Source organism: Homo sapiens, chromosome 2, assembly GCF_000001405.40.
Source record: "Homo sapiens chromosome 2, GRCh38.p14 Primary Assembly".
In the NCBI taxonomy this organism is placed as follows: domain Eukaryota; kingdom Metazoa; phylum Chordata; class Mammalia; order Primates; family Hominidae; genus Homo; species Homo sapiens.
Genome location: NC_000002.12, coordinates 44,695,378 through 44,722,665, shown reverse-complemented (window position 1 = coordinate 44,722,665; position 27,288 = coordinate 44,695,378). Strand labels below are relative to the sequence as shown.

At 37.2% G+C, this 27,288-nt stretch overlaps 1 protein-coding gene across 11 annotated transcripts in view; it reads right to left on the bottom strand.

The window, feature by feature from the left end:
• Window positions 1-27,288, bottom strand: part of CAMKMT (calmodulin-lysine N-methyltransferase) — a 410,646-nt gene that overhangs the window by 49,927 nt on the left and 333,431 nt on the right. For 7 of the 11 annotated variants that reach the window (XR_939723.2, XR_007081736.1, XR_939722.3 and 4 more), the window contains 4 exons: window positions 18,323-18,383; window positions 16,325-16,379; window positions 15,204-15,267; window positions 7,313-7,379 (listed from right to left, as the gene is read on the bottom strand). Coding sequence is in view for 8 of the 11 variants with exons in the window: in NM_024766.5 (NP_079042.1) it covers window positions 7,313-7,379; window positions 15,204-15,267; window positions 16,325-16,379; window positions 18,323-18,383 (247 nt within the window). In the remaining 3 variants the exon portion in view is untranslated. Of the gene's footprint in view, window positions 1-7,312; window positions 7,380-15,203; window positions 15,268-16,324; window positions 16,380-17,128; window positions 17,248-18,322; window positions 18,384-24,212; window positions 24,231-27,288 lie in introns of those variants that run through there. The other 4 variants (XM_047445880.1, XM_047445881.1, XM_047445879.1 and 1 more) reach the window with 4 other exon arrangements.

Here is a 27,288-nt window from a genome sequence, read left to right as displayed (position 1 = left end):
ATGTTTCAAACTTACATACTTTCAAGTGCAGTGCATTTTTTAATGTAATTTTGTTCTTTCTTGCCACTATATCTCCAAATATCACGTACAAAATAATGGGGTAAAAATTGTTCTGATCTAGAATTATGGTAGCAGTGTAGGGCAACCCACTAAGAGGTGGTTCAAAAGATAAGACAAACTTCAAAATTCTTTTAAATAGCTATTATGTCAGTGCTATTTAAAATCAGACAAAGATTGCACAATAAAGAAAATTCTGGACCAATTTTACTGATGAATATCTAAGCAAGCAGCTCAGAAAACATCATATACTTTTTGGTAGAAAACTTAAAGTGGTTCAGCCACTTTGAAAAACAGTCTGGCAGGTCCTCAAGAGGTTAAATATAGTTACCATGTGACCATATAAACCCAAGAGAAATGAAACTTGTCACAAAAATGTGTACACAAATGTTCATAGCAGCATTATCCAGAATAGAAAAAAAAAAAAAAAAAGAAAAAAGAAAAAGGAAACATCTCAAATGTCCATCAGCTGATGAGTGGATAAAGTGTGGTCTATCCATACAATGGAATAGTACCAAAAATGACAAATGCCCTGATATATGCTACACATGAATAACCTTAAAAACACTATTTTAAGCAATAGATTCCAGATGTGAAAGACCACATATTATACACTTCCATTTATGTGAAATGTCCAGAATAAGCAAAGGCATAGCAACAGAACATAGATCAGTGGTTGCCTAGCCCTGGAAGGGAGGAGGGAGGAGTGAGGAAGGGGCATGAGTATGAGGGCCTCCCCTTCCCTCCCCTCCCCTCCCCTCTCCTCTCCTCTTCTTTTCTTTTCAATAGATGGGGTTTCACTATGTTGCCCAGGCTGATTTCAAACTCCCAGGCTGATTTCGAACTCCTGGGCTCAAGCAACCCTCCCACCTCGGCACCCCAAAGTGCTGGGATTATAGGTGTGAACCAGCACATCTGGCCAAGTATGAGCTTTCTTTTGGGGGTGATGAAAATACTCTAAAATGATTGTGATGCTTGCACAACTCTGTGAATACACTAAAAGCCATTTAATTATATATGCTTTCAGTGGGTGACTTGTATAGTAAGTAAATTATATCTCAATAAAGTTGTAATTTTCAAAAATCTCAGATAATTTGTTATTAGAACACAGAAGCATATTAAAAGAAGAATTAAGACACTGTGAATAAGTAACTACTAGAAATGCAGGGATGTTTCAATATTAGGAAACCTTTTGATATGATTTGTCATAGTTACAAATAAAATAGGGAAAGCAATTTGAACATCTCCATAGGTGCTGAAAAGATATCTGCTAAAGTTCCATATTTACTTGTGATAACATCTCTTAAGAAATTTTAAGAAGATAAAAAATATCATATTTATCTCAACTCAAAAGCTAATGCATACTTAATGGTGAAAAATTAGTAGATTCCCAACAAAGTCAGACTCAAAGATGCCTATTATTTAATAATCATGGTGGATATTTTTATCCAATAAAATTATACAAGAGAGAAAAAGGAGGTATGAGAATTAGAAAGAAGTTACAATTGTCATCATCTGCAGATGATGTGATTGTTTGTTTGGAAAACTCAAGAGGATAAACCTGCAAAATATTCAAAACAATAACCCACTGAGGTGACTAAACGCTTACTATATCAAACCCCATAGTAAAACATAATGGAAGTAGAAAATATAATCGAAGAAAAAACCCTATTTGTAAGACCAACAAAAAGTTTCTAAAAATAAACTTAAGAGAAATAAAAATGCTAGTGAAACACCTTTAAAAACTTAAAAAGAGAATACCTGTTCTTGCATAGAAAGACTCCCAGTTTTTAAAATGTCAAGTCTTAGTAAATATGAAATATGAAAATATATTACAAAGTTATAGTGACAAAAATTATGCAGTTTGGTAGGGTTGTACAAATAGACACAATCCACTTCTGAAAATCTGTTGTGTAGACACACTTGCAAATGTATAATTTATGTAAAGATGTGTCTCACTGCAGCAGTTTATAATAACAAAATATTGAAAACAAACTAATGTCCATTATTAAGGTAAAAAATAAATGATTGTTTAACAATGATTTATCATGTGGCCATTCTCTAAAAAAGTTTTTTAAGATGGCTCTATTTTTAAGTGAAGAACTCCTTTGAAAATAAAAATATTTTTATTGATATGTAACTTCTGCAATATAAAATTCTGTGAAGGGAGAAGGATTTCTCTCTTAAAACCAGAAGACATTTTCACAGAGAATACAGTAGTCTGACTTGCATACCTAGCTATCAATACAGCACCTGGCCTATTTTTGGTAGTGAGATTTTGACCTTGGTAAAAAGTAGAAGTGGGCAAATCCAAAGAATCAATACAATGTTATTCTAAAATAAAAGGCCTTAATTTTTAATTGACTGTAGTTTAAGAGGGTCCCTAAAAATACAGCATCCTCCTATTTTAAAGTCTGGCTCATTTTAATACAAAAAGGATAACTCTATCAAAAATAGCTGAACCGGCTAACGTTCTTATGGGAGTTGGTGTCTTCAGTGCAAAACACTAAATAGTAGGGATATGAGCCCATCTATAAACCTGTTAAGCAAATCAACAGTGTTATGTTAGTAACAGAAAGTACACATGATAATTTCATTTTGTCATAGCCAAGATAGCAACAGAAGGAAACAGGAGTGTGGCATCTCTAGAATTCTCAGCGGTCTTCAGGATTCTGTTACTATAATTCTAGCAAAACTCACTAACAGGTATATTTTATCAGAAAATTTCTTAAAGAGAGCCTTCAGCTTCCTTATCTCAGTTACCTTCTACTAACCTTCCTCTTCAACCTGACAAAGAACAGATAAATGCCTACTCACACTGTCAGTTTGTCTACAGACACTACATGCGCATGCCTGAGAAGAGGCCAACACTGAAATGAAAGTCAGCTATCTGATGTAGAAATGGATGTCTGATTCTCTAGAGCTTGACTTTCCTCTACTAAAAATGGTTTGGTTCCATAAGCCTTATGGATTCATGTCTTTCAAAATGTTCTCTAAATACCAATTTTAAAAGCTTTCATATACCAAGGATAAAGTGTACTAATTGCTTCAGGGAGTACAAAAACATATTAAGCAGAATTCTTGCCTTCAAGAACATGATCTGTTTCCCTCCCTAGGACATAAACTCCAAGAAGGCACGGCCTTTTCCATCTTGTTTACCACTCCATCTCTAGCATCTAGAATAGGACTTGGCAAACAGAAGGTGGTCAAAATATTTGTCAACAAGTAGATAAACCAGTGAACATGCAAACAAAGCCAACATGCTTTGAACAAAAAGAAACTATGCCATGTTCAACTGTGGTACTATTCTAAGGGCAGCAGAAATTAAAAAGATTAGGGTAGGCTGAGAAGGCAAGGGGAAAATGGCAGTGGAGCCATCCTAGAAGGAAGGATTTAGATGGAGAAGAGGAGAGAAACAAGAATGGCAAAGACTAGAGATGGAGAGATCATATCTGTCGGAGGCAAGTGAGGGGTCCAGGGTAACCAAAAGAGGAGGCAGCAGCTAGATGAGATGTGGATATAAGGGCAGACTGCAGAAGGCCCAGGAAAATCAACCACTGGATTCTACTTGGTTGGAACGTACCTTTCAAAAATCATTTTCCACATCCCCATTTTAACCTCTAAAGGAAACTGAGTCTCAGAGGAGGCATAAATCTTTAAAAAGCAATAGGGCAATGGGACCAATAACCAATCTTGGGGGCCCACATAAAGGTAAAGTTTGGGTTATAAAAAAAGTCTTAACACAAGTTCCATAGTTTACTAAAATTCATGGATTATCAAAGAATAATAAAGGTCATAAACCTGAATTCACTAGCAACTTTCACACAAAGATACATACATTCTTAAGTGAAACTTACTTACATCATCACAGCAGGGTAAATTTAATAGACTTTTTAAGAACTCTCAACTAATATTAACCAGAGAATGACGCTATTCACTAATTCTGGAAGACCTAGAAATACGTAGACGTCAAAAGCTCCAAATGGTTCTTTGTTAAACAGTCACAATTTTGAAGACAGCTTTAGATAAACCCAACAATTGAGATACTGTAAATATCCTTGCTCTTTCATCAATCTCTAGCTATATTTAGTAGCATGGTTTCCTTTGTTCAAGAATTATTTTTGATAACTGCATATTTATATTCTCAAAAGCAGAGTACTTTGGACATACTTGTTAAGTGAATGGATGGCTGCATGGATGGACAACAAATAAACCAAATGACTGCATTAAGCTGAGATGTAATGAATATAATTCTTCATATATGTGGATCTTAGATTCAGCTAGGGCTAAGGCTTCCAGACTTTCACCAGCATGTCTTTCACATTTAGCTACAATCAGACTATGATTAAAATGGATAGAGGGAGCAGGAAAGTTTGGTAGCTAAGAGAAGAGTTACTTTAGGCAAGGATGGTGGTGCTTATGACAGCAGAGGTGGATTGACTGTGAAGCTAATGAAGGTTCAGCGTCAGAGCCTCTTGCAAGGCCCCTTCCAAGGCCCTTGGACAAGCCCTAGTAATGTGTTCACATGGTCATATATTTCTGTAAAATTTATCAAAGTAAGGTATAATAGAATTCATTCTTCCTAAGTGGGCCCTCAAAATAAGTTTCAGGCCCCACACAACCTGGGTCTGCCCCTGTGTAAGAGGTAGGAAGAGGTTGGTAGCAGGAGAAATGCTGATAGTTACTGAGAACATCATCGGAGTAGTGGGAATAGGAGCTTGGGTGCCAGTCAAATTTCTGGGCAGCTTGTTTTTTTTTTTTTTTTTAAATACCATTTCTTAGGCTTATAGTTCTCATACCACGACTTTCCTTTCAGCTTATACATCTTCTTTGCAAATGAAGTCACAAGAGACATTCAGCTGTTACAAACCTCATGTCAAGCTTTGAAGTGCTATTTAATAGCAGAAATATTTGGCTCACATGTGGGCTTTATAGCTATGGTAAATACTTCTTAGTTATCTGTCACTACTCTTATTCCACATCTCCAATTTGGAGGAGAAATTCTGCATATGCACTGAGGCACTAAAAAAGAATATTGAACTCTATCTTAGCTCTTTTGTGAATGGCTTCCTTTTATTTCTTCTCTCATGGAACTAATACTTTCATCACATTGTACTGGTTATGGGTGGGAAAGCAGTGGATGGAGGGAGAATACTGATTATTACATCAGTGGCTGGCCATTTCTCTTAGCTTCTTGACAGTTAAGTGATCAGGTCACTCCTTAATATAAGATCAAGGCATTTCAAGGACTAACTCATCTACCTGTTCACTAGAAAGTGCTTTAGTAGACTTTGAACAAAATGCTTACAGGGGTCAAAAGAAAAGAAACTGACCACAATTAGTATGAGATGAAGATGACAAAAAAAGCCCATCCTCATCTTGGAGGTTTCTATATGACTATTATTGACATATAGTCTATATGTCCAGGTACATATCAGAGCAATATATCTAGAAATAGCATTTTTGAGAACAGAAAAATAGAAACAAAGGCCATGTATTAAGCATTTGGTATATGTCCTTTGTTGAATAATGACATTTTGCTTGTTTATGTAACTTAATTATTTTATGAAGAGATGACAGAAAATACCATTGCACTCCATAAGTTAAACACTTGACATTTTTGTTCCTCAAAATGCAACATTTTAGATGTCTAGATATGTTTATTAATTAGTGATTATTAACACCCAGTAAACAACATTATGTCTTGTAAAAACACAATCTCTCTTCACAGCATGAAGCTGAAATCTATTATTCCCTGATTCCATATGCTGAAATACACTCAAATGCTCACAAATGACCTTAAACATTAAATAAATGTAAATGAGGACAACATAGAAAATGCACTTTTGATTGATAACTAAAAGACCAGGTTGAAAATCATGTCCAAAAACGAAGTCCTCTCCAGAAGGGTAAGGCCGTCTGCACTGTGAAGGAAAGGCTGTCCTAACAATGAGGACCCCACAGGTAACGGCAGACCCTTTCTCTTTCTCTCAACCTACCCCAGGTTTTCTGGGAAACAGAAGTGGTTTGTTCATTTATATGAGAAACACAGAATATGCTGTCCCCTGTGCCACCAGCTTACTCCCAACATTTTAAACAGGATTTAAAAATACACTATGGACACTTCATTACATTCACCAATTAATATAAGAGAAAAAAATTATTGCTATTCCATAGCCTCACACCAATATGTGTCATCACTTTGGTTTTTAAGCATTGTAGCTATTTTCATGTCCGAAGCCAGCACACCAAGATCACTGGCTGCCGGGGCTGTATCGTGGGTGTGTCCAAGAGAAATCAGTCTGTGGGCTTTGTCTGTTAATGAGTAGTTTATATAACTAATAAAAAAAATCAAACTGGGAAGTTGGGGTGGGAAAGTGTCTTTACCATAGGGAAAATTCAAAATACCAAATGATGACAGCTTCACAGTAATAAAGAAAACAATTAATTTAACAGAGAGTTATTCTAATAAAGTCTGTGGTTAAATGAATGACAAAAAATGCACAAATACAGCTGTTTCATGTGAAAACTATGAAATGATTACTCACTTCTCTAGATCCATTACCAACAGGGCAAAAATAAAATGTAGCATCACAGAACACACCATTGTTGTGGCTAAGAGCAAGCATTCCTCCTAGTTTGTATAAGAATTAACAGAATCTAAAAGCGAATGGACACCTAGACTATTTTAAAATCATGAAACAGAGCAGGGTTTCTCAGTGTTGGCACTATTGACATTCTGGGCCAGATGTTTCTTTGTTGTACGGGGGTGTCCTAAGCAACATAGGATGTTCAGTGGAATCCCTGGTCTCTACCACTAGATGCCAGTAGCAACATTCCCCGCTCTCCTACCAAGTCATGACAACAAAAAAAAATATCTCCAGGGAATGCCAAAAGTCCCCTTGGGGGCAAAACTGCTCCTAGGCTGAGACTCACTGGAAGAGAGCCATTTAAGGAGTTCCCAGGCCTGGCTTCTCCCAACCTCATACTGTATAATCATAAATCATCCCCAACCCAGTGTTTAATATACTTATCTTGTTTTCTCATCTATTAATTGGAGCTAATGAGAGTGTCTGTCTGCCTCATAGTATTCCAATGAGCATTAAATGAGATAATACTTGTAAAGTGCTTAAAACAGTGCCTGACACACAGCAGGTGCTCAATAAATGTTAGCTATTATTATTTTTAATAACCATCCATAGTATCAAGAAAAGCAATTTCAATGGGAATTTTTTAATGCAGAAAGGTATCTTACCAGCTTGATATTTTCTGGGTCTTAAACACACCAGCCTTCTGATTCCTTGTGATGATGTCTTGCACATCTACAGGACACAGTTAAGAAAACATCTGCACTGATTGTGAAGTGACCAAAAAAAAAGGTCCAGAAACAGTTATCTTTTTTTTTTTTTTTTTTTTGAGACAGGGTCTCGCTCTGTTGCCCAGGCTGGAGTGCAGTGGCGTGATCTCAGCTCACTGCACCCTCTACCTCCTGGGTTCAAGTGATCCTCCCACCTCAGCCTCCCTAGTAGCTGGGACTAAAGGCATGAGCCACCACACCCAGCTAATTTTTGTATCTTTAGTAGAGATGGGCTTCACCATGTTGGCCAGGCTGGTCTCGAACTCCTGACCTCAGGTAATCCACCTGTCTCAGTTTCCCAAAATACTGGGATTACAGGTGTGAGCCACTGCGCCTGGCCAATCTTTTTATCATACATGGGATGAGCACAGCGAAAGGAGAAGAGCTGTATGTGAGGTGTGAAGCAGGATGCTGACTTGCCACAGGCAAGCTCTTTTACTTCCCTGGGCTGCATTTTATCACCTGAGATGGATCATCATGGCAAGCCCCAGAGTTATGAGTGCTGGTGGGAAATGACTGTCCCATAGGTGCCATGTCCTACTTGCTTAAAAGGGCAAGGAGTCCAAAGGCAAGCCTCTCTGTCAGCAGGGAGAGCAATGTCAGTCTCCTGAGACTTTCCAGTGTGAAGTATTTCCAATCTCCTAAATGCTGCTAGGGAGGGGTGGAGAGGAGCAGCAGGATGACACTTGGGAGGAAGTGAGAAGAAAAAGATGAAGAAAATCTTGGAGAATCTTTGAGAGAAAATGAATTACTGAAGAAAGTCAGTTGAGTGAAAAGTCCCCTGAAGAACTGTCTTTACAGACTTACGCTATGGCCTTTGGCATGGAAGGACTTGTACAAAAGAGCCACATTTATGGAAGACATGTTTTCAGGAGCTGGTTCATTACATCACCCAGCGCCATATTTACAAGGGCCTGTTGGAAAAAATAGTCAGGTTTCAGCACCAGGAAAGGCTGGTCTGCAGATCAAGGGATGTTGCTTCCACTTCCTGGCACTATAACTCTTAGAGTTGATCCTCTTTTTCTTTGCTCCAGCACCTGTGCAACTCAGAGCCAAATGTGTGGCCTAACTCTAACAACCACAAAAGACCCTGTTGCGTATGTTTTCTCTACTGACCTCTATTCCTGGCTTCATCATATTTTCCTGGCTTTCCAATTTCCAACTGCCCTCACTTTCCCATTCATTTTATATGATATATTCTATGTGTCATGGTAAGAAGCCTCAAAATCCCTCTTTTGGAATAAGGCAGGTTTACATAAACAAGAAATAAAATAATTCCAGTGAAGGCTGCAAGTTGAACTAAATTGGGCCCATGGGGAGGACACCAAGCAGACAAGCGATGTTCTCCTATTGCTCAGAAAAACAAATTTCCTGAATGCTCAAAGCAAGCATTGACCAAGATCTCCCTGCAAAAACAGAGCCACAGGACTTTTTAACCCAAATCTCTGCTTGAACCACCAGGCACACCCATTTCTTCTCTGAGTGAATAAGCAGGTACTGTGATAGCTTTCTTCCCCCAGGGGTGGGTAGGAAAAATCAATTAGGTCTGCTAATGAAGGGCTTTGTTGAGGTTTACAAAAGTGCTATAATGCAGACTTTTTTTTTCCTGGGTGAACTTTCCTGTATGCAAATTAAATACCGTTAAATTACATTCATTAAAAAAATAAAAGAGACTAATTTGCCTACTTGTTTTGATTAACTAAAATGACACATCGGCCTACAGTTCTGTCTATTTCAGGAAGAAATTATTTCAGGAAAGTCTTCTAAATGAAATGTCTTGCAGAAAAGGACAGCTGACATCTTTATTCTGAGAAGAACAAAATTAGTAAAGAGTCAGCTGACAACTGTTTTTGATTAAGTTCCCCCACACTCTGGCCACACCCTCCTTAGAGTTTCCATGGCATCCAACCGCATGCCATAATGTGCCCAGTACACCTGTAGAGTCGTATGAGTACATGACTAATCTATCAAGCAAAACATATTATTTTGTTAGTGGAGGTAATACTTTTTATAAAATAGTCTCAGGGAAGTTAAATTATATAACTCAGAAAACCTATTAATAATTTTTAGTAAACATCTTAACACTATATACTTTTATACAATTTATAAACCTGTGACTCCAGGTGGTCAGGCTGAAGCAAACATATGTATTTATATTCTAGAAGCAATTTTTTAAATAAAAAAATTCGACAGCAGTATTTAGGCTGCTTTATTTTTAGAACTGGACAGGAAATAAGTTTTGTGGTTTAAGAGGTTTTTTTAAATATTAAAATGAGCATGAGAAGAAAAAATGTCAACAGTATATTAAAATATTACCTTAAGAGATAAATTCAGACATCCTGCTCCCCACCCCTTACTTTAGGTCAGATTTTGATGGTTCTTCTGGACGGCACTGTGTTGTCCAATAATAGATTTTATCATTCTTCTGTGTCACCTCAGTGTAATAAAGGAAATCCAATCACATTGAGTCGATATGTCCAGGATAGTGTTCAACACAACGGGCCAAATCGTGTTCTCTGAACCGCACCCACCTTCTGGAGGACTTCAGTGGGAGGGACTGGGTGCAAAGAAAGCCTTAATGTGATTTCTGATTAAATGAATACAGAGTAATTGCCTCCAATCCCCTTGTCTAGGCAACTGGACTTCCAGAGCTACAGGATATATGTTTGTGGCTAAAAAGAAACCGGAATTCTAACTCTAGGTTTTCTTCTCAAATAAAGCCCCGTTCAGAGGTAGGGCTCCATTTCAATTTTGTTTCAGTTGATTTTTATTCTTAAAAAATATTTTTATATAATAGTAATTTAAACAAATTATATACATGTTATATGTATGCATCATATTGTTAAAAATATCAGCCTCCTCCTGCAATTAGCAATTATTTATCAGTAGTTATATATATATTTTGAGAGTTGGCATGTTGTTTAAGCAAGAAGATATTTCAAAAATAATAACACTGTGATTCACAAAGCACCACTTTCTTGGTTTATGTTATCTTTATTTTCGCTGGAATACCAAAAATGAGGGTAGGAAACTATGAGATTATAATATAAACCCTATTCATTTTGATCTCTCAAGTTTTTTTTTTAATGCTTAATGTGGCAATATTTGCTAATTTAAGGCTGCAAAATATTCTTAAATGTGCTTATTACTCATATGAATTGAGAAGATACCATAGAGGTACTATAAACTCTGTTAGCAATGCCAATTGTTATGTTCGTGGATGAGAGGCCTTTATTTCCAGAGCATGTAAGGAAATGCAAGATGACGTTCACCAAATCATTTTAGTTTTTGGTGACCCAGAATGGTTTAAGTCGAAAAAACATAAGCTTTGAAGTCAAATGAACCTGGCTTCTAGTGCTGGTTCTAATATTTGGGGGCTGCGTGTCCTGGGATAAATTAATCTCTCTGAGCTCCATCTCTAAAACAGAAGTAATGATACCTATTTGTTAGGCTTAATGGAGTATCACGTGTGATGGGCCTGGCACACAGTAGGTGCCCAATTCACGTCAATTCATTATCTTAGTGTATAATTCAGGCAAAAGCTTTGGTAGGGTGAAGAGGTGGGTAAAGTAACTAACATGAGGTTTGGCAGTTACACTTTATTTTCTTTTCCTGCTGCTTAGAATTAATTACCTGAACCGGGCACAGTGGCTCACGCCTGTAATCCCAACACTTAGGGAGGTGGAGGCAGGAGGATAGCTTGAGCCCAGAAGTTCAAGACTGCCTGGGCAACACAGCAAGACCTCATTCTCCACAAAAAGGAGAAGAAAAAAAGTTAGAATTAATTATGTGAACATTTATACTGTAGAATTTAAATAACCAAAGTTATCAAAGAACTTCTGCCCTTCATGTATATAAATGTATTCTAGCCAAGGCAAAATCTGTGCCCCACAAGGATAGGTACTAGACCTATCTTGTTCACTATTGTATCTTTAGCACCTGTAATGACATGCCATTAATATTGGTTGAATTAATTTTAATTTAATTCCAAAAAATACATATTTGTTGTGCTGCTACCCAATCTGAGGCACATATAGTTTACTTATGACTCATCAGTAGATGGAAGTACAGCCGGCATTGGAAGAAGAAGCCTGGACACAGGAAGATGGCCCGGGATTTCCGTGTTATTAACCATCTATGGTACAGGCTGCACAGCCCACACGAAGCTTCACTTATTAGTTACTCAAGTCAGGGATTGTATTAAATAAAAATAATGTTAAACCAGGGGTGTCTCCTTTAAAAAGCACAGGGGATTTACCCATTTTTGGAGAATCCTAAGTTCAAGATCATGATCCACACTGTGCATACTTTGGGGATAAGATGCTTACAGAGAAATGGGTCACCAAACATTGGAATTTTCTGCATAGAACTGCTAGATGTTTACTAAGGCAGGGTGCTTGTGCTGGGCACATTAGTGATTGTAGCCAGAGAGGGTTGCTCACCTTCAGGAGTTCTACTTTTATTCATTATAATTTAGAAGAGGCTTAGCATCAATAATAACTCAGTATACCATGTCTCTCTCCTATTCCTAGGTCATTGTTATCACAAGTTACAAACCTTATGGAGTAATTATTATATGTGGGCAGTTGAAGATTTCTTTCTTGACACTAAAGGGGCATTGCCAAAAAAAAAAGAAAAGGAACATGTTTCACACTATTTTAGAATAAATTTGAGAACTGGACAAACCAAATGATCCCATTTCTAATTTATCCTTTGTTCTCTTGGGGTACAGATAAAATGGCATCTGTAGGGAAGAGCAGCTCTCAGGTGTGGGGGCTTTGAGTTCGTAGACCCAGCAATGCAGTTTAAGGATCAAGGAGACTTTAGGGAAAACTACCCATGAATCTAAGAAAATATTTGTGACTTAAAAATTTTTACCTCAAGTCTTAATATCTTTCCAGACATCTCTGTTTAATAAATCTCAGATCAACATCTAGCTTTTCAGAGTCAAGTTGGAAAACTCAAGAAGACATAGGCAATCCATCTGATACATTTTAGGGAGATAATAAATAAACTCAAAACTGGTTGACATGCTTCTGTGATATAAAGATTCAGAACCAATCCATTCATTGCCTCACATACTAAAACAAATAGAAATAATATAAAATTAAAAGGAAATATCAGGAAATGCTGTTTTTTTTTTTAAAAAAAGGTAAAAATCAGAATCTTAGAAGCTTAAGAGACTAAGAAGATTCAGTTGGATTCATTAAATTCAGAAGCCAAGAACAAAAAAAATAATTTTTAAAATGATAAGAATAATATACAGGCCAATACTCAGATGCGATATGCCATTGCCAGGCCAATTTTCAATTACATTTCACTGATGTATTCATTTGTTTCTTAATGTGCTCATCTTGCCCATTAAGAATAATTAGCAGCTTTACTAACAGATTTTCTGGCTTCTGGCAATGTTTCTCCCCCTTTTTTTGTTGACATCCACTTTTACTTCTTAGAAAGTAATTTTTGAATAATATCCTACAACTGCTATATAATTTAGACTTCCTAAAATTTTAAAGGAAAGATGTAAACAGTAATTTTTAAATAAGTTTGTTTCAATCTATATGCATCAATAGTATGTGATTCAGTGAATTAGTTATTCTTACAGAAAGTGGGCATGCAAATAGAAAAAAAAATCATTCATATTAACCTCAGTCAGTAAAACAGATGACAACGAATGCCAATTGTAAGCTCTGTTAGCAAATCAAGAATAACATTAGTATTAAAAGCAGGAAAAACACATTGCCAATTTTAAGGCTTTATGCATGCTTTTTCTCTTAATTAAAAAAAATTAGATCTGGTTACAACAGAAAAAGGCATACAAACACAGAACAACTGCATGGTAAAAACGGAACTCCATCAGGAAAGTCCTAAGAGATGAAATAAAACACACTACCAGTTTTGGTCTGCATCCTGAAAAGACCTACTTTATCTACTTTGTAAAGTTCTTCCCCTCCTGCCCTTTGGCACCCCGCTATATTAAACCCATTGTAAAACCCAGCACAATAAAGCACTCTCAGGGCTGAGCTTCTGAGGACCAAATGTTAAAAATCCATTTTCTTGGGAGGGGGCTGTACCAATCATTTCTTTGAAAGGCCGGCAGAATGAATACAGAATCTGAGATTTCCTCTCTGATTTCAAAAGCTGGCATGGCATCTTTGTTGTTTAAAGCAAAGGTGTGTTAATTAATGACATTAGCATTGCTTCCCTTCTTTGGAAGCTCTGTAGTTTAGCTCAATAATAATTTTAGAACAATTAGACTTACATACTGACTACAGATGTTTCCCATAGTTTGATAAAAGTTCTAATTGGTTTCTGACGCTATTAAATAAGACACCTGCTGACTTGAAAAAAACCTTAGGTTACCGGGCCCAAGCTGAAAGTTTCTGTGGCTAAAATAATCTTCTCTTGTCCAATAATCCTGCTCCCCCCACCCTCTAAAAATTCTCTGGGGCTGAGCTGGCATACCTGAGCTTCCTCTTGCTCTGTATTCCCTGACATAAGGAGGAGGAGCACAGTGAAATGATACATGGATACATGCACGAAATAACTCAGAATAAAGCAGAGTGAATGAAAAAACATCTGCTCATCTTCAGGAATATTTTGAAAAACTTGAGACAGTCTCAAGAACGTGATTAAAATCCTGCATTTAAAAAAAGGAAGCACCTTTTGTGATCTCCTTCCCTTGTGTGAAAGGCCAAGATTGTGATTGGCTGTTTTTCCTTCCTGAATTTTTTTTAAGTCTGTCAGGCAATTAGCTGGGTGGGGCTCTGTAGAGCATACAAGTGTTACTGAACAATATTAGCTACTGTGCTTCTCGTTCCTCCTTTCTCCTGTTTGAGCAGCTTGATGAAGCTGCTGCATATTTTGAAAAAATCATATGGCAGAAGTCGAAAAAGAAAATCAGAAATAGATTGTATGTAAGATGCCACAGAAATCAAAACTGCTTTGGCAGTTTAGGAGCTTAAAATTCAAATAAGTAGATTGTCTCCCTCATAATGTAAATGTAAGGCACACCAAAAAAAAAAAAAAAAAAAAAAAAATCCAAAGCAAACATATCTGCCACTTTTCCTCTCAGTTTCTAACAGCTGTTAACTGCCCCTGAACAAATCAGCTCGACTGCTAAAGTAGCTACATTTATGCTTGCTTTCTTAGTTAAAGTACAGTTCAATTTTCATGAACTCTGTGTACATATTAGTAAAGCATAATCTAATGGAGTTTGAACTGCAATAGCATAGCAGAAAAATAGAGATAGCTTGTATAATCCTAAATAAAATCCTAAATAAAAGGAAATAATGAAGAACTGACAGCTGTTCCAGTGGGGGATATAGGTACCCTCAGCAATTAGACCAGGCACAATATTATACAGTACATACAATATCAAGTGTATAAATGTAATAACAAACATGAAGCTGGAAGTTAATATTTGCCAGCAATATCCAAATACAATAAATACCAAATAATTTGTTTTACACTGGCAAATTCCAATGGAAATAAAAGAACAAGAATGCTTGAAAATTATTATGAAACAAATTTTCTTATTGCCTCGGGAGGTCCACAAAAATAGGCTCCTTTCATGAGAGATGTCTATAAAAATCTATGGAAAGAAAAAAACCTACGGAGTTGTATGCAAGGAATTCATATATTTCTACTTTTTCTTAATTACTTATCATGTATGTAGGGGGGAAACTCTCTTTTAATACCCCATGCTGTCTTTCTTTATATCAATTGTTACTCAGCCAGGAAAAAGGAATGAGCACAACAAACCCGTTTTCTATCTGAATAAGGATACTTCTGATGGCCTTTTCATTCCCATCAGTTAACAGAACTTCTTTGACATCTGCAGAAATAGCAACCTGAAAAAAAAAAGGGAGCACAGCAAACAATGAGCAAATATGCTTGTCTGTGTGGAAGTGAAGACAGGAGTGACAAGCCTTCAGTATCATGCTTCCTCACCTATTTCTCTGTAACAATCTTCAATCTTTTTTCATTTTATGTCTGCATTATTTTAATCATTCAATCAAATCAGTCAATACTTTTATCATTCCATTTGCGGGAGCCTCTATCTTGCTATCATTCTGTTCGGTAATTGCATTGTGACAGCGGATGATGGTATTCTGAGAGGCTTTCATTTGTGGGCTTCTGTTTATCTAGTAGAGCCATCATACAAGGCTGTCACTCTGCCTTTCAGCTTGCTTCTGTCTGACTGCCTGATGCCCTTCATATAACTTTGCATTGCAGGCAGATGGCTTTGTGAGGGTAATTTTTTTGTGAGCTTTGACATGCTCGCACATTGGGCTGTAACCTCGACACATTGTATAAGAGCGACAGGTTTGTCAAATGCCAATCAGTGTAACAATATGCTTTTATTTGTAGAGACATAAAAACTTGTCTAATGCACTGTGCTGCTACATAATATCTCCTGAATACATGACTCAGAACCCAGAGAATGGGGAACGACGTTCCTGAATGGCCAATCTAATTCAAAAGAATCTAATTACTGAGCGCTCTGGATCATGTTTGTTGGTGTAATAATGCAGGCAAAACATTAGCAGCTATATCATGGTGCTCCAACTGTGATTCGCCGGGCTATTCCTGTATCTTAGCAAATGGGACTATAATCTGAAAAAAAAAAAAAAAATGCTTTCGCTATGGCAAAGAAAGACTGTGCGAGGCCTGGAATGTCACAACAAGCAATATTGACTACACTGAGGTAAAATGTTTCTGCTCATCGAGGCAACCATAAAATCAATATGATCCGAAAGTAAGTCAATCTAGAAGGTCTCTCAAGACCCGGCAGCTTGACCGCAGCTGATGCTGTTGACGGTTCTCTGACCCAGCAGTTGGAGGCCCTGGAACATTTTTCCTTTTGTTCCTCCCTCTGAATGGGATTGGAATGGAGAAAAGACCTACCATGAGCCCAGCCAAGCATGTCATGCCACCCCCTAGCTCACACACAGCAAGGGCCCTGAAAGAGAGAAAAGAAATGGTAGAACCCATACAAATTAGATGAAAATGGTCAGAGAGAGATATATGTTACAAGAACAAATTGCCATCTGCAGTAAGAACGGCGCTACCAGGAAGTTGTAGAGACATGACTAGGCTACCTCATGTCGTTTTGCGTTTTAAAAATAATTATGAAATAGAAAAGTCACAAAGCAGGCAAATCAGTGGGGGTTCCCTCATTAGTGTTCACTGCAACATTACCACCGCTGAGCTGAAAAATCTGAGAAGGTTCCCTTTTTTTCCCTTGTCAATGGCGCTGTCTTTTAGAACTAAACTAGCTAGAGTAGCGAAAGAGAAGTGTTAGGAAAGGATAACACTGTTAATCCACATTCATTCCTTCAAAAACAGTTAGACAAGTAAATGAAGAATATATATGAGTGTGTATATACCTATATTATAGTTACATACAAACAACACACACAAAATAAATAGATGCAATCCTGAATTTTAAAAAAAAATTCTTAAACAAACTGAAACATTTTGGAAAGCTGAACAGTCCCCATAAAGAACAATTACACAAAGAGCATTTAGCAATTAACACTTAAATCACAATTGACCCCAACACAACACAGTGAATAAACAATGCAGGGACATAATATGGTTAAGCCAGCAAACCCAGGCTAAAGTAATGACTGGGCTCTGACTTCACAGCTCAAAAGTAAAGCGGCTCAGAGTTAAAGCTGACAGTCTAGGGTGGCACTCTGCACTTACCTTCCCCTTTGTGCCTAAATATCAGCCCTTAACGTGTGACATTCTCGCCCTGGCCCACTGCTCGCTGATTGGAGCTCCAGTCAAGCTTAAGCACAGCGAGATGAACAAATGCCAGACTTCCAGGGCAGCTCTGCAGCCCACATTCAAAATTGCCCTGTTCTTATTTATATGCTTAGACTCTTAGGATTGTTTCCTCTTCCCAGTTTGGGAAGTTTATTACCTCAAGAGGAGAAAAAAAGCAAAATTAAAAGAGAGGGAGAGGTGGGAAGAGGGGGAAAGGGAGGAGAAGAAGCCAAGCAAGGACATTAATATTTCAAAACACACTTAATGAGTGTTTGGTTGTTTAAAGCAATTGTAGACTGGTTGGTAAATATGGACCCATAGAGCTTAAAAAAATACATATTATTGACCCAATCTTGTAAGTACATACGGTTAAAACACACGCTATGATCACTAGCGGCTTATCTGCTATCATAATGAGCTATTCAGGAAGTATATATTGAATGACTTTTATAAAATGAGAATTAAAATGAAAAACCTATATTTTCTGGGTCTACCAAACATCTTTAGAATTTTCAAATAAAGTTTTTTTTTTTTTTCCTAAATTCCATCCATGGGTTCGATCTGTAATGCACACTAACAGTTGAAAACACTTATTTCCGTAGCATGAATCCGTAATGGTAATTTATAGTTCACAAATACATATTGTTAGATATATAAAACTACCTTTAAAACCAGGGGTGGGATGGCATCATTAAATAATAGCTGTGAGGTATTTATCTATCAGACATTCTGTAGTGACTTCCCCAGCAGAAGTTTAAAGAATGTCTTTATTGGTTTTTTTTTTTTTTTTTTTGACCTTCACAATCAGTAAGGATTGATTGGAGCTTCACTTTTGTTTCCCCCAAATCAAAGTGAAATAAAATGCCTTGAGTGGAAATCAAAAGCCTTTGACATATAGCAAAAACCTTGCTGTGCAATATTAGTACCCAAGGCAATTCAGATTTCACTTGAGAAGCAACATGTGTTCACTGTGAACTTTTTCCCCTCTTTCTGTTTTCCTTTTCTTCCTGTTTTTCTTTTCTTATATTTTTTTCTAACAATTTAATTTGAAGAATATAATCATGGCAATTTTTAATATGTTGATTCAATATCCGTGATGGGCTAAAAAATATCTTAAGTGCAGCTCTGTACCTGAATATATTATTGTGCTTGAGGCAGTAGTAAGCCAAAACCTCTTCAGATGGCCAGATGCCTAGAAAACACAAGAGGATAAACCTTTTGATTATAGAAGTCATTCTTTTAAGAAACGGCTTTTAAAAATAATGTTCAGTACAAGCTATTTCAACTTCAATCAAACAACATTGTTATTACTTATAATATGTCATGTCACGGGTGTCTTTTATTGTTGTTATTTTTATAGTGGTGAGATTTATAACTCTTTCCCAAGGATAATAGAAAAATATCCTAAATAAATTATACTAAATTTTGATCACAAGATAGCCAAAACAGTAACAACCAAAATCACAAATATCAAGTTAAATTTTGATGGTACTTCACATAGATCTTCATCTTGTGCACATAAAATTAATTAGTATCAGTTGAAGACTTGCTTATATATGCAGCCCATATTAGGCAAAAATAAATGGGACGATCACACACAGGAGCAAACAAAACCACTGACGTCACTACACTTTTTTGTTTGATTCCATGCTAATATTTTTAAACATGCACAATTCTGTCTTTTTTTTTTTTTTTTTTTTTTTAGAGTCTTGCTCTGTCGCCAGGCTGGAGTGCAGTGGCGAGATCTCAGCTCACTGTAAAGTCTGCCTCCTGGATTCAAGTGATTCTCCTGCCTCAGCCTCCTGAGTAGCTGAGATTACAGGTGCACACCACCACGCCCAGCTAATTTTTGTATTTTCAGTAGAGACTGGGTTTCACCATGTTGGTCAAGCTGGTCTCGAACTCCTGACCTCGTGATCTGCCTGCCTCGGCCTCCCAAAGTGCTGGGATTACAAGTGTGAGCTACTGTGCCTGGCCACAATTATGTCTTTCTTCAGTTAAATAAAATCAAACTGCTGTGTAAGATTAAGAAATTTTAATTTCACCAACTTTGGTACATCTTTAAATTTAACAATAATTCTACCTGCTAAATTGCATGGATGGACATTTTCTAAAATTGTCATCCATAAATCACTGATTTCAAATACTTAGTCTTCATGAATGGATATGAATTGCTTAAAGAGAAGACAAACATGCTTGGAAATTGTAGTTTCTAGTTGTTATCACAGGATGGTAGGATTATAAGTGTTTTTAATTTTTTTCTTTATGCTTTTTTGTATTTTCCAAAATTTTTACAATAAGCATATACTACCCTTATAATTAGAATAAACTATAACCTTATAAAAATTATGTTTTCCCCCAATTAATCAAACTCAAAGATCAGTCAGAGCACCAGGCATCTTGCACTTCCTAAGGCTGAGAGCACCATGCAGTCCTGGGAACGGGTGGCAAATGTTCTCTGACTCAACACCAAGCACTCTGCTGATGGTCTTAATGCAAGGTTGAAACATCTACAAAAGGCTTAATTTTTTTCCCCTAGATGAACCTCCAACTTTGAGGACTAAGAAATCCAAACATTTCAGAGAAGAGGGTGTTAAAGAAATGTTAAGTAAACTCCTAAGAGATTCAGGGGGTAAATATATAAACAGCAAAGAGGTGTCTCCATAGAGCATTTGTTGCAGGGAAGCCCAGTCAGGTGTACACACTACCTCAGCCTCTCTGGCATTTCTGGTAGGAATGACAGCTTGAGGGAGAAACAAGGAAAACCAGCAAGAAGTGTTTGGAGTCATATTTAGGAGGAAAGTAAGAGAGGCAGTGGAATGTGGCAGTTAAGATCACAGATATTTTGGAACCAGACTTATTGGGCTCCAGTGCCAGCTCTGCCATTCCCCTGTGGAGTGACCTTGGACAGGTTACTTAACCTGCCTATCCCTCATGCTCCTCATTTGTAAAATATCATTGCAGTATTGTCAACCTCACAGGACTGGCCTGAGAGATGAGTAAAATACATGCCTATGTTTAGAATGGTTCCTAACACATAATAAGATCAAAGAAAAAGAAAGCATTGTTAATGTTATTCTCCAGCAAAGAGGGATGGAAGAGTGGAAGAGAGAATATGTGAATCCAAAATTCGTATCCCAATAACCAGAAAAATGGAAAACCATTTTGACCTGTTACTGCAAATCCTAATACCGGTCATATCTCCACATAAAAATAACTCTATTAAGACCAAAGTATAAATAAAAGTCTCTGAAGGAAGAGCATAAGACAATGCTCTACACCAAGTGAACATAATCACCACTATAATGAATTTCTTTATGCCTTTAGCTTGAGGTTTTAAAAAAATGATAGACAAAGAGTATCTAACTAAAATTTAAGCCTTGATTAAGTACAAAAATGCGACTTCTAAAATGCAGTACTTTGTAATAGTTTTATAATTGTCTCAAAAAATTATAGAGGCTGATTTTTAACAAAATTACATACAAAGAACAAAGTAAAAAAAAAAATCACGTAAAATGTGACCACTAGGATATAATCACTGTTAACATTTTGGACGTCATCTCAAAAGATCTTTCTAGGCAAACAGATATTTTACACCAATGGGATCTTTTCATGAAGATATTCAATAACCTGATTTTCCCTCATTCAATATGTGGTAGATAGCTTTACTAGAAAATAAAAATGTACTTTACCTGCATCATTATTTATAATGATTGCTTAGACATTCTATGTGTGAATCAGAATTCATTTAACCAGTTTCCTCTTGACAGACATTTAAGTTAGTTTCAAAGTTGTTGATATGATGAGATTATTGTGTTGATGCAAAAGTAATTGTGGTTTTTGCCATTAACATCAACAGTAGTACAATATGACAACCCATCTTTTCCCAACCTATGGTTTTCTCCTTAGGTCAAATACTAGGAAATGGGATATCTGGTCAGAGGTTACATATATTTTGCATTTAAATATATCAAACTGACCTCCATAAAATGTGCACCAAGTTACACTCCTAATCAGAGTGTTTGTTTCCTCAAAGCCTTGCCCAGATAGGATTTTTTCAACATAACTAATTTTTGCTAATCTAAGTTTTTAAAAGTTATCTCAGTGAAAATCAAAACCTAAATGAGATACCACTTCACACCCACTAGGATGGCTACAATCAAATAGTCAGGTTATAACGAATGTTGGGCTGGTGAGGATGTGGAGAAATTGGAACCCTGATGCACTGCTGGTGGGAATGTAAAATCATGTAGCCACTTTGGAAAATTGTGTAGCAGTTCCTTAAAAGGTTAAATGTAGATTATAATATGACCCAGCAATTCCACTGCTACCCAAGATAAATCAAAATATGTCCAACAAAAACTTGTACACGAATGCTCATAGCAGCATTGTTCTTAGTAGCCCAAAAGTGGAAACAACCCCAATGTCCATCAACTGACTAACGGATAAATAAAATGTGGTACGTCCATACAATGGATTATTATTTGACAATAAAAGAAGAACTGATACATGCTACAACATAGATGGGACTTGAAAACGTTATACAGGCAATACTCCATTTTATTGCAGCTTTCTTTATTGTGCTTTGTAGATGCTGCATATCTACAGTTTTACAAATTGAAGGTTTGTGGCAACCCTGCACCGAGCAAGTCCATTGGTGCCATTTTTCCAACAGCATGTGCTCAACTAGTGTCTCTGTGACAGATTTTGGTCATTCTCACAATATTTCAAAATTTTTCATTATTATTATATCTGATATGGTGATCTGTGATCAATGACCTTTGATGTTACTATGGTAATTGTTTTGGGGCGGCATGAATTGCGTCCATATAAGATAGCTAGCAAACTTAATCAATAAATCTTGTGTGTGTTCTGACTTCTCCACCAGTCGGCATTCCCCCATCTCTCTCCCTCTCCCCAGGCCTCCCTATTATTAGGCTAATTAATAAACTTAACAAATGGTCTCTAAGTGTTCAAGTGAAAGGAATAGTTGCATGTCTCTCACTTTAAATCAAAAGCTAGAAATGATTCCACTTATGGAGAAGGCATGTTGAAAGCTGAGATAGGCTGAAAGCTAGGCCTCTTGCACTAAACAGACAAGTTGTGAATGTAAAAGAAAAGTTCTTGAAGGAACTTAAAAGTGTTACTCCAGTGAACACACGAATGATAAGAAGACAAAACAGCCTTATTGCTGATATGGAGAAAGTTTTAGTGGTCTGGATAGATCAAACCAGCCACAACGTTCTCTTAAGCCAAAGCCCAATCCAGAGCAAGGCCCTAACTCTTCAATTCTATGAAGGCTGAAGGTGAGGAATCTGCAGAAGAAAAGTTTGAAGCTAGTGGAGGTTAGTTCAAGATGTTTAAATAAAGAAGCCATTTCTGTAACACAAAAGTGCAAGGCAAAGCAGTAAGTGCTGATGTAGAAGCTGTAGCAAGTTATCCAGAAGATGTAGCTAAGATCACTGATGAAGATGACTACACTAACCAACAGATTTTCAATGCAGACAAACATTGGAAGCCTTCCATTGGAAGCAGATGCCATCTAGGACTTTGGTAGCTAGAGAGAATTCACTGCCTGGCTTCAAAGATCCAAAGGACAGGCTGAGTCTCTTGTTAGGGGCTAGTGCGGCTGGTGACTAAGTTGATGCCAATGCTCTGCACCATTCTAAAAATCATAGCGCCTTTAAGAATTATGCTAAGTCTAGCCTGGCTCAGTGGCAGGTGCCTATCGGGCTACTCAGGAGGGCGAGGAAGGAGGATTGCTTGAGTAAGCCCAGGAGCTGGAGGCTGTAGTGGGCTAGGATTGAATATGTGAATAGCCACTGCACTCCACCCTGGACAACATAGTGAAACCCTGTCTCTTAAAAAAAAAATAAGAGAAAAGGAATTATGCAAAATCTACTCTGCTTATGCTCTATAAATGGAACAGTAAAGCCTGGATGATAGTACATCTGTTTATAGCATGGTTTACTGAATATTTTAAGCTCACTGCTAAGACCTACTGCTCCGAAAAAAGCACTTCCCTTCAAAATATTATATACTGCTCATTGACAATGCACCTGGTCACCAAAGGGCACTGATGGAGATATGCAAGGAGATTAATGTTGTTTCCATGCCTGCTAACACAGCATCCATTCTGTAGTCCATGGATCAAGGAGTCATTTTGACTTTCAAATCTTATTATTTCAGAAATACATTTCATAAGGATATAGCTGCCAAATACAGTGATTCTTCTGATGCATCTGAGCAAAGTCAGTTGAAAATCTTCTGGAAAGGACTCACTATTCTAGATGCCATTAAGAACATTTGTGAGTCATGGGAGGAGGTCAAAATATCAGTGTTAACAGGAGTTGGAAGAATTGATTTCAACATTCGTGGATGATTTTGAGAGGTGGAAATAGCAAGAGAACTAGAATGAGAAATGGAGCCTGAAGACGTGACTGAATTGCTGCAATCTCATGATCAAACCTGAAAGGATGAGGAGTTCCTTCTTACGCACGGGTAAAGAAGGTAGTTTCTTAAGATGGAATCAATTCCTGGTGAAGATGCTGTGAACACTGTCGAAATTACAACAAAGGATTTAGAATATTACATAAACTGAGTTGATAAAGCAGTGGCAGGGTTTGAGAGGATTGACTCCAATTTCGAAAGAAGTTCTACTGTGGGTAAAATGCTGTCAAATAGCATCGCATGCTACAGCGAAATCTTTCCTGAAAGGAAGAGTCAACCAATGTGGCAAACTGCATTGTCTTATTTTAAGAAATTGCCACAGCCACCCTAACTTTCAGCAACCATCACCCTGCTAACCATCAGTTAGCAGCCATCATCAAGGCAAGACCCTCTGCCAGCAAAAAGATGACAACTCACAGAAAGCTCAGATAATCATTAGTATTTTTTAGCAATAAAGTATTTTTAGTAAGGTATGTGCATCTTTTTAGACATAATGCTATTGCACACTTAAGCTACAGTATAGTGCAAACTTTTATATGCACCAGGAAAGCAAAGAATTTGTGTGACTTACTTTATTGTGATATTCACTTAATTGCAGTGGTCTGGAACCAAACCCTCAATATCTCCAAGGTATGCCTGTACTGAGTGAAAGAAACCAGTTACAAAGGACCACATGTTGTATGTTTTTATTTATATGAAATATCCAGAATAGGTATATTCATAAAGATGGAGTGTGGCATGGTAACTGCCCAGGGCAACAATGGTTAGGTGTAAATGGAGCATGACTGCCAATGAGTATAAGGTTTCTTTTGGAGGTGACAAAATATTCTAAAATTGTGGTGACAGTTGCACAAGTGTGTGAATACACTAACTACCACTGGATGAATTGTATGGTATGTGAATTATATCTCAATAAAGCTGCTACTTTTTAAAGTTTTCTCATTCTTATTTGTGGGAATAAAATTGCCTTTCAAAAAGATTTTCTTTTCAAATTAGTTATAGAGACACATAGTTTAAAGAGCCATTGGGATCTATTAGAATGGCTAAGACAAACAGTAGCACCAAGCCCCTTTCCCCAGTATTTCTGCTTCCCCAGAAACTATTACTTTCAACTCTTTTAGCTAACTCTTCTGGTAATTGTGTTTATATTTCTACATAATAAGTTTGTATTGTTGCTTCTTGATTTTTCAGTTTCAAGCAAAATCTACTGACCCCTCACTGTGCAAAATTAGCATTTTTTGCTTTTATCTCTATTCCTCTTCCCACATCACATATGTGTGCCCCTTATCCACCCCACGCCATCTGCTTAATATTATATTTTAATATTACAATAATAGTTATAATGTTAAAATTTTGGTAAGATCACTCCCCAGTTGATTTTATTATGACTAGGAAATAAAACAGCTATGTAGTAAACTATGATTGTTTTTTCTTTCATGCACACATTTTTGTTTTCTCTGGAGTTTATAAAGGTCTTTTCCCCCCTCATTTGCTAAGATTTTTAGGCAACCTCAAACTTCAGTTGTCAATTTCTCCTCTCAATACATTCATTCACAATGGGTGTTCTATCAACCTTATGAGGAAATCTCTCCTGGTATCTTCTAACCTGCCTTAGTCTGGACTGAATGCCCTCTATGCTTGGTACACAGCTGACAGCCTAATCTTCACTATCATCCCAGGCTCCTTTTGCCTTTCTCCTGGGTTCCATCTCTTGTTTCCTCTACCCATTGTCTTCCTCTTTCTTGGTTTATTCCCTCATTTTAGTGTAACACGTCCTCCAGTAGTTTCTTGAAAAAGGGGGTAGGAGAGGTAAATGTTTAAGAACTTGCATGATTCAGTGGGTAATTTCAATCCAGAAACTCCATGTTCTTCAGTTCTTGGAAAGTTTCTTACAAAGTATCATCGATTATTTCCTTACTCCATATTTCTCTGTTCTCTTCTTCTGCAACTGTTATTATTTGGATGTTGAATCTCCTGAACTCATCCTTTTATTTTAAAAAATCTTTTCTTTCTTGCTTTGCATCTCTTATTGTTTTCTACTTTCTTGGAAATGTCCTCAACTTTATCTTCTAACCTTTTTATTGTTCTTTTAATATATGCTATTGTTATTGATGGTCATTCTCTGAATGTTTCTTTTATAAGCATCCTATTCCTGTTTCATGAATGCAATGTCTTAATTATTTGAAAGTATTAATTATAGTTTCTTTTAAGTTTTCTCATCTTTATAAAGTCTGTTTTTTTCAAGTTGTTTTTTTCTGTTTCTTGGTTTTGTTATCTGTCACATTAAAAGCTTCCCTCAGGTATCTGGTAATTCTGGAAGTAAAGAAGGCTGAGTGTAGGTGAGTGGGGTGAGGGTGTGGGGCTCATCATTCAGTCTGCATATGTTCACTTAGTCACTCCACCTGGCTTTTCGTATTCTCTGCTTTCAACTGTACCTGGTGTCTCCCAAGCCCAAAATCCCCAGTTTAACCCTCTCCAAAGAATAAACCTCCAGTTTTTTGTTGGAGTAGAGGGAGAAGAGTTGCCCAGTCACCTGAAATGGGGATATAACTACTTCTTAAACAACTTTCAATCAATTCTCCTTAGTTTCATCCCCTTCAACTCCTTCTTTTAGAAGTACAACTGCCCCTCAATATTTGTGGGGGATTAGTTCTAGGACTCCTCCACTCCATACCAAAATTTGCAGATATTAAAGTCCCTTATATAACATGATGTAGTATTTGCATGCATATCCAATATAAGTGCTATGTAAATATTTGCTATAATGTTTTTAAACATTTTTGGCCGGGCACAGTGGCTCACGCCTGTAATCCCAGCACTTTGGGAGGCTGAGGCGGGCAGATCACTTAAGGTCAGGAGTTCAAGACAACCCTGGCCAACATAGTGAAACCCCGTTTCTACTAAAAATACAAAAATTAGCCAGGCATGGTGGTGTACGCCTATAATTCCAGTTATTCGGGAGGCTGAGGCAGGAAAATCGCCTGAACCTGGGAGTTGGAGGTTGCAGTGAGCCGAGATCACGCCACTCCACTCCAGCCTGGGTGACAGAGTGAGACCCTGTCTCAAAAAATAAAATAAAATAAAAATTTTTGTGTTATTTTTAGTCTTTTTTTTTTTTTGAATATTTTGGATCAGAGGTTGGCTGAATCCTCAGATGCAGAATCCATGGATACGGAGAACCAGCTACATCTGATGCCACCGATTTCCGAGCCTTCAAGGCTCCAGAAGTTTAAATTGGGTTGATTCTCAGCTTTGCCAACTGCTGGCTTTCTCATATCTGCTAAGTCAATGCATTTGCCTTCCAGCTTCCAAAATTTTATTGCTATTGCATGCTGCCCCTTAAAATGGCCAATGTGTCATTCACGTGGGTTTATGCCTTAAAAAACATCCCTATGTAGAGGTTTAGTGAGGTTTCTTAAAGGAGTGCATTGTTCAGTCTCCAAGTTTACCTGAAACCTAGAAATGCATGGTCTTTTGAATATAGTTTTGTAGGACAGTTCTGGAATCCAAGACATATTCTTATCTCTTCCAGAGTACATTTTAGCATCAATGCTTTAAGCTCAGAATGGTGGGGTTTCATTCACTCATTCTGGAAGAATAGTGAGTAGGGGGACTTCATAGACTAGAGAGAAATTCATTGGAAAGGT